Genomic DNA, 12,971 nt, shown 5'->3' with positions numbered 1-12,971 from the left:
AAGGTTACCCAACCAGGGGTGCAAGGAGGAGAATGCTGGCAGACAGGGCTGAGAGGCTGGTGGCGGAGGTGGTTCTCACTGGGACTGGAATTATCCTCACTCAAATTAGAGGGGAGGGAGCACACAGGACACTGACCTGATCCAATTTTTTTTTTTTTTTTAAGATCACTGGCTGTTGTATGTATGGATGATGGATTAGAACAGGGCAAGAGGAAATGAAGTAACCTGCTGAGAAGCTGCTGTTATGATCCAGACAAGAGGGGCTGGTGCATTAGGATGGGGTGGGGGCAGTGCTGGACAGGGAGATAAGAAGTGGCTGTTGGCTGGGCGGGTGGCTCGCACCTGTAATCCCAACATTTTAGGAGGCCGAGGCAGGCCGATATCTTGAGGCTGGGAGTTGGAGACCAGCTTGGGAAATATGGCAAAACCCCTTATTTACAAAACATACAAAAATTAGCTGGGCATGACAGCACCCACCTGTATTCCCAGCCACTGGGGTGGCTGAGGTGGGAGGATCACCTGAGCCCAGGGAGGTTGAGGCTGCAGTGAGCTGTGATCCTGCCACTGCACTCCAGCTGCTTAGGCAACAGAGTGAGACACTGTCTCAAAAAAATTAAATATTAAAAAAAAGCCGGGTGCGGTGGCTCACGCCTGTAATCCCAGCAGTTTTGGAGCCCGAGGCAGGCAGATCACGAGGTCAAGAGATCGAGACCATCCTGGCCAACATGGTGAAACCCGTCTCTACTAAAAATACAGAAATTAGGCAGGTGTGTTGGTGGGCGCCTGTGATCCCAGCTACTTGGGAGGCTGAGGCAGGAGAATCGCTTGAACCTGGAGGCGGAGGTTGCAGTGAGCCGAGATCGTGCCACTGCACTCCAGCCTGGCAACAGAGTGAGACTCTGTCCCAAAAAAAATAAATAAATAAATAAGTGGGCCGGGCATGGTGCTCACACCTGTAATCCCAGCACTTTGGGGAGGCCGAGGCAGGCGGATCACGAGGTCAGGAGATCGAGACCATCCTGGCCAACATAGTGAAATCCTATCTCTACTAAAAATACAAAAATTAGCCAGGCATGGTGGCGCATGACTATAATCCCAGCTACTTGGAAGGCGGAGGCAGGAGAATCCCTTGAACCAGGGAGTTGGAGGTTGCAGTGAGCCAAGATCATGCCACAGCACTCTAGCCTGGCGACACAATGAGACTCTGTCTCAAATAAATAAATAAATAATAAATAAATAAATAAAATTTACAAATGGCTGTAAGTGGTATGTAAACTGAAACCTGAATTCAGTGCTGTTGGTGCAGGGATCCTCATCTTCTGCAGAGGGAAGACTACCCCTTATTTACTGGAACACCAAGGCTGGACACCATTCATTCAATCATCAACACATTTTTATTGTTGCCTCCTATGTGTCAGGCGCTGTCCTAGGCACCAAACAAAACAAGCAAATCCCAAGCTTTCATGGTGGGATCAAACAAAATCAATACCTTAATTGTAGGATATTAGATGGTGATGTGTGTTAAAGAGACATAGCAGTAAAGGGGCTGGGGGTGCTGGATGAGAGAGAGGGAAGGTTTCAATTTTTTTTTTCTTTGAGACAGAGTCTTGCTATTGCCCAAGCTGGAGTGCAGTGGCGCGATCTCAGCTCACTGCAACCTCTGCCTCCCAGGTTCAAGTGATTCTCCTGCCTCAGCCTCCCCAGTAGCTGGGGTTACAGATGCCCACCACTACACCCAGCTATTTTGTATTTTAGTAGAGATGGGGTTTCACTATGTTGGTCAGGCTGGTCTCAAACTCCACACCTCAAGTGATCCACCTGCCTTGACCTCCCAAAGTGCTGGGATTACAGGCGTGAGCCACCACTTCTGGCCAGGAAGCTTTCAACTTTAAATTGGGTGACCTGAGAAAGTGACTAAGACTTGAAAGAGGTGAGGAATAGAGCCTTTAGATAGCTCCTTGGATGGAGGAAGCAGCAAGTGCAAAGGCCCTGAGGCAGGCCTGTGCTTGGCGTGTTCAAGGAAAAGCAGCTGGAGCTGAGTGAGTGGGAGGGGTGTGGTAGGACATGGGCTTAGGATGAGGGCAGGGGCCAGATGCTGGGGTCTAAGGACTTTGCCTTTTCCTCCCAGTAGAAAAAGAATCCTCTTAGGCCAGGCACGGTGGCTCACGTCTGTAATCCCAGCACTTTGGGAGGCCAAAGCAGGTGGATCACCTGAGGTTAGGAGTTCGAGACCAGCCTGACCAACGTGGTGAAACCCTGTCTCTATTAAAATTACAAAAATCAGCTGAGTGTGGTGGCGAGCGCCTGTAATCCCAGCTACTCGGGAAGCTGAGGCAGGAGAATCGTTTGAACCCGGGAGGCAGAGGTTGCAGTGAGCTGAGATCATGCCACTGCACTCCAGCCTGGGCAACAGAGTGAGACTCCATCTCAAAAAAAAAAAAAAGAAAGAAAAAGAAGCCTCTGACCGGCTAGGTGCAGTGGCTCATGCCTATAATCCCAGCACTTTGGGAGGTTGAGGTGGGTGGATCACGAGGTCAGAAGTTCAAGACCAGCCTGGCCAAGATGGTGAAACCCTGTCTCTACTAAAATACAAAAATTAGCAGGGCCTGGTGGCGGGCGCCTGTATTCCCAGCTACTCGGGAGGCTGAGGCAGGAGAACTGCTTGAACTCAGAAGGCAGAGGTTGCAGTGAGCCGAGATCGCAGCACTGCACTCCAGCCTAGGCGACAAAGCAAGACTCCTTCTCAAAAAGAAAAAGAAGCCTCTGGAAGGTTGTGAACATGGGGTCACATTATCTGACTTGGGTTTTTCTAAAGTCACTGGGTTGCTGTGTGGAAAATAGTCTGCAGAGGGGCAAAGGCAGAAGCAGGGAGACCAGTTAGAAGATTAGTAGTGCAATCATCCAAGGGAGAGATGAGGGGGGCTTGAGCCAGGAGGCTCGCAGTGGGGTGCTGGCAGGTGGTTGGATTCTGGATATATCTTGAAGGTAGTGACCGTGGGATTTGCTGAAAGATTGGCTGTGGAGTGTAAGAGGAAAGGGAGGAATCAAGGATGACTCCAAGCCCGAGCTACTAGATTCATGGACTGGTCATTAACTGAGATGGGGAAGACTGCAGATGGAGCATTTAGGGGCAAGGAAGTCAGGGGTTCAGTTGCAGACACGCTGAGGTGGAGATGGCTGTTAGGCATCCCAGTGGAGATGGAGCCGCCAGAGTGGCTGGGGAGAGCTCCAGGCAGGGCGAGTACATGAGGGAGGCGTGTGTGTGTGTCAAGCAAATATATTGGGAGATTGACAAGTGGATGAGTGTAGACAGAGAAGAGAACACAAGGCCTAAGCTTGGGATTCTCCACCATTAAGAGCAGACAGAGGAGGACTAATTGGTGAGGTAGAAAAGACAAACCAGGCCGGGTGCAGTAGCTCACACCGGTAATCCCAGCACTTTGGGAGGCCGAGGAAGGTGGATCACTTGAGGTCAGGAGTTTGAGACCAGCCTGGCCAACATGGTGAAACCCCATCTCTACTAAAAATACAAAAATTATCTGGCGTGGTGGCAGGTGCCTGTAGACCCAGCTACTCAGGAGGCTGAGGCAGGAGAATCGCTTGAACCCAGAAGGCAAAGGTTGCAGTGAGCCAAGATCACGCTACTGCACTCCAGCTGGGCCACAGAGTGAAACTCTGTCTCAAAAAAAAAAATTGCTGAAAAGTATCCCATTGTCTGCAGATACACACTTGTTTGTTTGTTTGTTGAGACGGAGACTCATGGGATTACAGGCGTGAGCCACCACACCTGGTCTTAATTTTTTTTTTTTTCTGAGACAGAATCTAGCTCTGTCACCCAGGCTGGGGTGCAATGTCACAATCTCGGCTCACTGCAACCTCCACCTCCTCAAGCTATCCTCCTGCCTCAGCTTCCTGAGTAGCTGGGATTACAGGCACATGCCACCACATGCGGCAATTTTTTTTTTTTTTTAGTGGAGATGGGGTTTCGCCATGTTGGCCAGGCTGGTCTCGAACTCCTGATCTCAGGAGATCCACTCACCTCAGCCTCCCAAAATGCTGGGATTACAGGCATGAGCCACTGCACCTAGCCCCACATTTTCTTTCTTTTCCTTTCTTTACTTTACTTTTTTTTTTTTTTTTTGAGACAGAGTCTCACTGTCACCAGGCTGGAGTGCAGTGGTGTGATCTCGGCTCACCACAACCTCCGACTCCCTGGTTCAAGCGATTCTCCTGCCTCAGCCTCCTGAGTAGCTGGGATTACAGGCACACGCCACAACGCCCAGCTAATTTTTGTATTTTTAGTAGAGACGGGGTTACACCATGTTGGCCAGGATGGTCTCGATCTCCTCACCTCATGATCCACTTGCCTCAGCCTCCCAAAGTGCTGGGATTACAGGTGTGAGCCATCGCGCCCAGCCCCAGCCCCACATTTTTAAATCCATTTGCTAGTTGGACCTCTGGATTGTTTCCCAGTTTTGAACTATATCTAATGCTGCTATGAACATTCTCGTGTAAGTCTTTGTGTGGATGTATATTTTCATTTCCCTTGAGCAGAGTCCTAAGAGTGGAATTACTGGGTCATATAGTAAGTTTATGCTTATTTAATCTTTTAATAAATTGCCAAACTGTTTTCCAAAGTATCTGCACCATTTTACATTCTCATCAGAAACGTAGGAGGGGTTCCATTTCTCCACATTGTTGCCAACAGTTGGTATTGTCCTTTTTAATAGCCTTCTAGTGGGTGTACACTGGAATCTCATTATAATCTAATTTGCATTTCCCCAAGGACTAATGATATTGAGCATCTTCTTGTGTACTTGTTAGTACATAGGTAAGAATGAACTTAGCGTCCTCCAGTCTGCATTTCCAAATGGGCAGGCAGGTGGGTAGGGTTTATATTTTCCCAGATGAGGTCATGTGATCCCTCTGTGGATGAGATCAGCGCTGGCTCTGAGGAGATCCTTGGTGTCTACCTGCAGGAATCTGAAATGGTAAAGAGAAGGCATCAGGTGTACTTGCGGCTGGGTGCAGTGACTCATGCCTGTAATCCCAGCACTTTGGGAGGCCGAGGCCGGTGGATCACTTGAGGTCAGGAGTTGGAGGCCAGCCTGGCCAACATGGTGAAATCCTGTCTCTACTAAAAATACAAAAATTATCTGGGAGTTGTGGTGCCTGCCTGTAATCACATCTACTTGGGAGGCTGAGGCAGGAGAATCGCTTGAGCCCGGGAGGCAGGGTTGCAATGAGCTGAGATCATGCCACTTCACTCTAGCCTGGGTGACAGAGCATGACTCCATCTCCAAAAAAAAAAAAAAAGTGTACTTGCATGTTGGGGTCTGCAGATGGGTGGAGTCATCTGCCCTTTCTTTTCCCCAAGAAACCAAACTACCCAGGGAGGGACACCCAGAATTGCCTCAATGAAGCAAGCCACCCTGTGTAGGAGACACTCACTGGGATTCTGTGAAATAGGGGGCCTGTGAGAGCTGGAAAACAATGTGGCAGCTGTCTGGAATGGAGGCCAATAGTAACTCAACTGGGCTGTGGCAGAAGAAGGAAGGCATTGGGCTGTGTCTGATCAGAGCCTGCGATTTTTCCATCAGTCCTAAACTGGCGTTTGCCTTCTCTGTTCACATCTTTGGGATCTGCCTCCTCTGTCAGTCCCCTAAGCCTGGCACTTCTGTGGGTAGAGCTCCTCTTCAAATGCAAATCAGGTCTCTTTGCCCACCCGCACTCATGAACTTTTTCATGGTACTTAAATGTGCTGCGCTCTCTCCACCTCTCTTTTCCCTGATAACCTTTATCCCTGTGCATTAGGGTTATGCTAGATGCTGTAACAGACCTCAGAATTTCAGCATTTAACACAATAGAGTTGTTTTCAAATTCTCAAAATGTGTGTGAGCCGGGTGCAGTGGCTCACACCTTTAATCCCAGGGCTTTCGGTGGCTGAGGAAGGAGAATTGCACTTTGGGAGGCTGAGAAGGGAGTATGGCTGGAGCCTAGGAGTTGGAGACCAGCCTGGTCAACACAGTGAGACTTCATTTCTACAAAAAATAAAAAATATTAGCCAGGCACGGTGGCACACATTTGTAGTCCTAGCTACTTGGGAGGCTGAGGTGGAAGGATTGCTTGAGCCCAGGAGGTTGAGGCCACTGTGAGTCGTGATTACACCACTGCACTTCAGCCTGGGCAGCAGAGTGAGATCCTGTCTCTAAAATAAATAAATAGGCTGGGTGTGGTGCTTCATGCCTGTAATCTTAGCACTTTGGGGAGCTGAGATGGGTGGATTGCTTGAGCCTGGAAGTTCAAGACCAGCCTGGACAACATGGCAAAACCCCATCTCTATAGAAAATCTACAAATTAGCTGGGTGTGGTGGTGTGCACCTGTAGTCCCAGCTTCTCAGGAAGCTGAGGTGGGAGGATCACTTGAGCTCGGGAAGCGGAGGTTGCAGTGAGCCAAGATCATGCCACTGGACGCCAGATGGGGAGAGAGTGAGATCCTGTCTTAAAAAAAAAATTGCAATAATAAAATTCTCAAAACAATCTATATAGCTATTCCAGGTTGTGTGGTGCTAGTGGTATTGTGGAGTTGCTATCTCCCACACTAATATGAAGAAGGTTTGTTCTTTCTCTTTTTTGAGACAGGGTCTCTCACTCTGTCACCCAGGCTTGAGTACAGTGATATGATCACAGCTCAATAGATCCTCAACCTCTAGGGCTCAAGCAATTCTCCTGCCTCAGCCTCCCGAGTAGCTGGGACCACAAGCACACCCCACCATGCCTGGCTGATTGTTTTTTTGTTTTGTTTTGGTAGAGATGGGGTTTTGCCATGTTGTCCAGGCTGGTCTTGAACTCCTGGGCTCAAGGGATCCTCCCACCTTAGCCTCCCAAAGCTCTGGGATTACAGGCATGAGCCACCATGCTTGGCCAGATGTGATTGTTTTACATCAGCAAATAGATTAGATTGCAGTTCCAACTACAAAGGAAGAAAGAAGTGGATCAAATACTGCATAAAGTATATAATTATTTTTATTGAGGCAAAATTCACATAACATAAAATTTGCCATTTTATTATTTTATTTATGTATTTATTTTTTCAGAGTCTGTGGGGCGGGGAAGTGGTCTCTCTTTGTGCTCAAGCTGGTCTTGAACTCCTGGGCTGAAGCCATGCTTCTTCCTCAGCCTCCTAAGTAGCTGAGACTACAAGCTTGCAGCCCAGTGCCCTGCTTAAAATTAGCGATTTCAAGGCTGGGCGTGGTGGCAAGGCCTGTAGTTCCAGCTACTTTGGAGGCTGAGGCAGGAGAGTCATTTGAACCCAGGAGGTGGAGGTTGCAGTGAGCCAAGATCATGCCACTCCACTCTGTCCTAGGCAACAGAGCAAGACTCAGAAAAAAAAAAAAATAGAGATTTCAAAGGGTGGCCATTTCAGTGGCATTCAGTACACCTGCAATGCTGTGCAACCACCACTTCTAACAGGTTCCAAAATTTTTCCATTACCCTAAAGGAATACCCCTTGCCTGTTAGCAGTCACCCCCTACCTCAATCACCCCCGCAGCTCTAATCAACTATCAATCTGCTTCTAACTCTATAGATTTACCTGTTGTCGATATTTCATGTAATTGGTACCATACAATATATGAGCTTTTTTTTTTTTTTTTTTGAGACAGAGTCTTGCACTGTTGCCTGGGCTGGAGTGCAATGGCGTGATCTCAGCTCACTGCAACCTCTGCCTCCCGGGTTCAAGCCATTCTCCTGCCTCAGCCTCCCAAGTAGCTGGGATTACAGGTGCTTGCCACCACGGCCGGCTAATTTTTTGTATTTTTAGTAGAGATGGGTTTTTTGTTTTTTGTTTTTTTTCTTTTTTTTAAGATGGAGTCTCGCTCTGTTGCCCAGGCTGGAGTGCAATGGCACGATCCCGGCTCACTGCAACCTCTGCCTCCTGGGTTCAAGGGATTCTCCTGCCTCAGCCTCCCGAGCAGCCGGGACTACAGGCATGTGCCACCATGCCCAGCTAATTTTTGTATTTTTTTTAGTAGAGATGGGGTTTCACCATGTTGACCAAGATGGTCTGGATCTCTTGACTTCATGATCCGCCCACCTCAGCCTCCCAAAGTGCTGGGATTACAGGCATGAGCCACCGCGCCCGCCCTATATTAGGTCTGGCTTCACTCAGCATGTTTTTGAGCAAAATGTTATAGCATGTATCAATAGTTCATTCCTTTTCATGGCTGAATAAAATTTTGTTGTATTGGCCAGGCACGGTAGAGATTGCCGCCTTGCACTCCAGCCTGGGCAGCAAGAACGAAACTCCATCTCAAAAAAACAAAAAACAAACAAACAAAAACCAAAAAACTTGAACATCAGGCTGGCACGGTGGCTCACACCTGTAATCCCAGCACTTTGGGAGGCCAAGGTGGGCAGATCACCTGAGGTTGGTTTCATGTGCGTCCGTGTGAAGAGACCACCAAACAGGCTTTGTGTGAGCAACATGGCTGTTTATTTCACCTGGGTGCAGGCGGGCTGAGTCCGAAAAGAGAGTCAGCGTAGGGAGATAAGGGTGGGGCTGTTTTATAGGATTTGGGAAGGTAATGGAAAATTACAGCCAAAGGGGGTCGTTCTCTGGTGGGCAGGGGTGGATCTCACAAAGTACATTCTCAAGGGTGGGGAGAATTACAAAGAACCTTCTTAAGGGTGGGGGAGATTACAAAGTACATTGATCCATTGATCAGTTAGGGTGGGGCAGGAACAAATCACAATGGTGGAATGTCATCAGTTAAGGCTGTTTTTACTTCTTTTGTGGATCTTCAGTTACTTTAGGCCATCTGGATGTATACGTGCAAGTCACAGGGGATGCGATGGCCTGGCCTGGGCTCAGAGGCCTGACAGTCGGGAGTTCGAGACCAGCCTGAGCAATGTGGAGAAATCCCGTCTCTACTAAAAATACAAAATTAGCCAGGCATGGTGGCGCTTGCCTGTAATCCCAGCTACTCAAGAGGCTGAGGCAGGAGAATCGCTTGAACCTGGGAGGCAGAGTTTGCAGTGAGCTGAGATCACGCCATTGCACTCCAACCTGGGCAACAAGAGCAAAACTCCATCTCAAAAAACAAAACTCGAACATCCCTAAGAGTATTTCTGCTCCCTAGAACCTATGCCAACACCACCCTCAGGGTCCACATGATGAGTCTTCCCATACATATTATTCTCATGTAATATAACCATTTCATAAAGAAGGGACCGTCCCCCATTTTACAGATGAGGAATCAGAGGCACGGAAGGATAAAGTGACCCCATCCAGGTGGTATTCCCAAGCCTAGTGTTCATCCCACTGTACTGTAGCTAATGTCTCTGAGGGCAGGTAACTTGAAACAAGGTCTGTGTGGAAAGCAAACTCCTTGCAGAGAATTTCAACGCAATCTAAGTGAATGCAGAAAACCCTTGAATTCTGTTCTTCCCTGGGCGATTGTGAATGCTGTCCGAGAGTGTGTCTTTCCAGGCAGGGAGCCAGTGTGCTGGGCTCACAAGTTCTCATCGCTTCCCTTTTTGATACCGTCTCATTACTTTTAATTGCATCTGAGTCTTTCTAGCATCTTGTATTTTGCTTCCTAATCCAGGGCATTTCTCTGCCTCCCACTGGTCCAGCACAGCACTTCTCTCTCTCAGAGCTCTCCAGAGAGGTGCCCCCAGAAAATGGAGCTGGTCTTCTGTAATGAATTCATCTCTGTAATGAATAGTATAATATCCAAGTCCCAGCATATTTACATAGCAATCTTCACACAAAAGCAACATTACAAAGGGAAGATTTTTTTTTTTTAAAGAATGCCATCTCAAAGCTCCATTTCCTATAGTACGAAGAACACTATTGGAATTACCCTGACAGGAAAACAAAAACAACTTCCAGGGATGCTGGGTGAGAGACAATAGTTAAACCAGACCCATTAATGTTTAAAATCAATGGAGCATAAAACTGCTTTTCTCTACTTACAGCCAGGCATCATCATACAGAAAGGAGGAAAACATTACCATTTTAACTCTACTGAAATCCGTAAGCCCTCCCCTAATTTTCATTCCTCTCGAAATTCTCCAGTAAGTACCATCGGAATGAAAATGAGAATCAGTCTCTCCGGGGGGAATGGCTTCCAGTCCTCATCAGTAAAGTGTGTGAACAGCCCTCGGGAGATGGAGGTGGGAGGCTGCCCACTGGGAAAGTCTCCATCACTCAAACCTGCAGAACTAGTTGCGGAGACTCACTGTGGGGCATGGGAGCCTCCGGGCTGACTTCAGTAAAGCCCTACACAATCCCAGGTCAGGGTAGACCTGAGGCAGAATTTAAGAAACCTGGCAAGTGCACAGAAGTAATACCCTCAGGGTACGTTTCACCTAGTGGGCTGCATGGGGGGGATCTTCAACATTATTATGTTAAATGCTCCCCAGGGGGGACTCGCTGGAATTGAGCCAGACCTCTGTTAGTAAACCGCTGGACCTAATCCTACATTTGTGTAATGCCTGACAACACCCGTTCCCATTATCTTATTTGATCCTGAAAACAATCCTCAGAGGGAGGCCAGGCAGGGATTATTTCTCCTATTTACAAGTGAAAACACTTGTAAACTGATTTGCCTGGAGTCCCACACCCAGGATGTGGCAGGAATGAGACTTGGATCTAGGTCTTTGTACAACCTGTTCTGGGTTCTTTTGACTTCACACAACAGACTGATCAAAACATTCCCAGCCCCACCCACTCCTCACAACCACCAGCTTAACCAGCAACTGGAAACTCACCAGACAGCTTGTGTTTATGCTACCCTCACACCTCTGTCCTAGTGAAGAAACACACCTTTGGCTGGCAAGCTCTCCAGGAAAAAATTAATTTCATGTCATCTCCTTGAAACAAAGACCAACATTAATCCCAGATGGATTTGAAAAAAAAATCAAGGCATTTGAAAAATCTAAAGAAAATAGAATGGAATATTTAATAACTTTCTGGCAGCAAGGAGACTCCAAATTTAGCATCGTGTTAGAAATTTCAAAGAGATTTTAAAATTTGCCTACATGAAAATTTGGTTTTAGTGGGGGAAAAAATGACTGTACAGAGCCAACAAAAGCCTGGAGACGTATTTGCGGCAAAATATGAAAAGGGTTAACATTTGGTATGTAAAGGAGTCATGCAAATACGTAAGAAACACTCCCTAGGAAAATCTTATTAGGAAATAGACAATTCATAAGAAAGGAAGTACAGTTTGTTAACAAACATTTAGAAAACTGCTCTACCTAACTGAAATCAAAGATATGCAAACTGAAGGGAGAAAATTTCCCTATATAATCCGCAAAAAAAAAAAAATTCAATAATACTCAAATACTAGTGAAGGTGTAATGATGTATGCTCAAGCATTAATGATGGTAGAGTACATTTACCTAACTCTTGGAAAGACACTTCCTGAACATTTATCAGTAAACCTTAAAATACCCAACTACTGTGACTTAAAATTCCACTCCTGGGAATATGCCCTAAGGAAAGAATCATCAATATCTTAAAGTGTCGCGCACAAAAATGTTAGTTACACACTTAACGATGGTGAAATTAGGCAAATGTTAAAAACATAGGCACTTGATGGAAACTTATGTAATCATTAAAATGTTTTCAAAGTGCATGCAATAACACGAAAAACGTTTATGATGTAAGGCAAAGTGGAAAAGTGTGTAACACTGTATGCATGTGTTTGTATACTACACTTTCATAGAACAAAGGCTAAAAAGGAAAAAAATTTAAATGTGAACCATGAGAGATTTTTTCCATCCCTTATATTTTTCTTTTTTTTTTTGAGACGGAGTCTCGCTTTGTTGCCCAGGCTGGAGTGCAGTGGCGTGATCTCGGCTCACTGCAACCTCCGCCTCCAGGGTTCAAACCATTCTCCTGCCTCAGTCTCCCGAGTAGCTGGGATTACAGGCGCCCGCCACCACGCCCGGCTAATTTTTGTATTTTTAGCAGAGATGGGGTTTCACCATGTTGGCCAGACTGGTCTGGAACTCCTGACCTCAGGTGATCCGCCCGCCTCGGCCTCCCAAAGTGTTGGGATCACAGGCATGAGCCACCCACCGCTCCTGGCCAATCCCCTATATTTCTATTTGAACCTTAAAAAAAAAAAAAGACCCTTCTTTAGCCGAGCGGCGGTGAGTCCTATTCTCATGATATGTCCGGGGGCTTGAAGACTGCGGGAGGGAAAGCCTCTGGGACCTCACCTCAGAGCGATTCTGCTCTGCTTCAAAGCGTCCCCTCTTAGGCCGGGCGCGGCGGCTGACGCCAGTAACCCCAACACTTTCGGAGGCCGAGGAGCGAGGACTCCTTGAGCCCAAGAGTTCGAGACCAGCCTGGGCAATATAGTGAGACCCCCCCCCCCCACCACCGTCTCTACAAAAAAAATTTTTTTAATTAGCCAGGCGTGGTGGCCGCGCCTGTGGTCCCAGCTGCTCCGGAGGCTTAAAGTGGGATGATTACTTAAGCCAGAGTTCGAGGCTGCAGTCAGCCGTGTTCGCGCCACTATACTTCAGCCTGGGCGACAGAGACCTTTTCTAAATAATAAATAAGTAAATAAGTAACGTGCCGCCTCTTCACTCCCAATTCCCTCCGCCTTTCCCCGCCCCGCCTCGTCGAAGCCGGACCCGCGGCGGCCCGCCCCTCCCCCACGACCAGGGCCGGGAACTGCGGGTGCGCGGGGCGGGAGTCGGGCGGGCTTAGGCGCGGCCGACACGTGGGGAGGGAGGCCGCGGCCCAGGAGGCGGGCCCGGAGTGGGTGTGGGTGTGTCCGTGCGTGGGAGAAACCAACCTCAGCCTCCTCCGAGGCGCCACGTTTCAGCACGGCTCGTTGGGCCCGGGAGGTCGGAAATCAGTCCCCACGCCCCGGACCCCCTCCTGGAGGGACAACGAACACAGGCGCGGGACGGCTTCGGTCACCGCCCGCGCCGCCCTTTGCCCCCGT

General features: G+C 48.1%; 1 long non-coding RNA gene across 1 annotated transcript, besides 2 other annotated features; it reads right to left on the bottom strand.

Annotated features, from left to right (window-relative positions):
• Positions 1–4,586: 4,586 nt before the first annotated feature.
• LOC105378448 (uncharacterized) lies at positions 4,587–12,944 on the bottom strand. The gene is made up of 2 exons (NR_188201.1): positions 12,819–12,944; positions 4,587–4,983 (listed from the first exon to the last, which is right to left on the bottom strand). It is a non-coding gene; the product is annotated as an uncharacterized LOC105378448 (long non-coding RNA).
• Positions 10,387–10,905: an enhancer, noted in NCBI's record as "OCT4-NANOG hESC enhancer chr10:99096642-99097160 (GRCh37/hg19 assembly coordinates)". NCBI's record gives its function as "activates a minimal SCP1, AML or CMV promoter by ChIP-STARR-seq in naive H9 embryonic stem cells {active_cell/tissue: H9 hESC(naive)}" and the evidence as "EXISTENCE:reporter gene assay evidence [ECO:0000049][PMID:30033119]".
• Positions 12,493–12,842: a silencer, noted in NCBI's record as "silent region_2676". NCBI's record gives its function as "represses an Ori minimal core promoter by ATAC-STARR-seq in GM12878 lymphoblastoid cells {active_cell/tissue: GM12878}" and the evidence as "EXISTENCE:reporter gene assay evidence [ECO:0000049][PMID:35858748]".

This window comes from Homo sapiens, chromosome 10, assembly GCF_000001405.40.
Source record: "Homo sapiens chromosome 10, GRCh38.p14 Primary Assembly".
Taxonomy (NCBI): Eukaryota; Metazoa; Chordata; class Mammalia; order Primates; family Hominidae; genus Homo; species Homo sapiens.
Note: the sequence above shows the minus strand (reverse complement) of the source record. Positions and strands in the feature narration are given on the sequence as shown.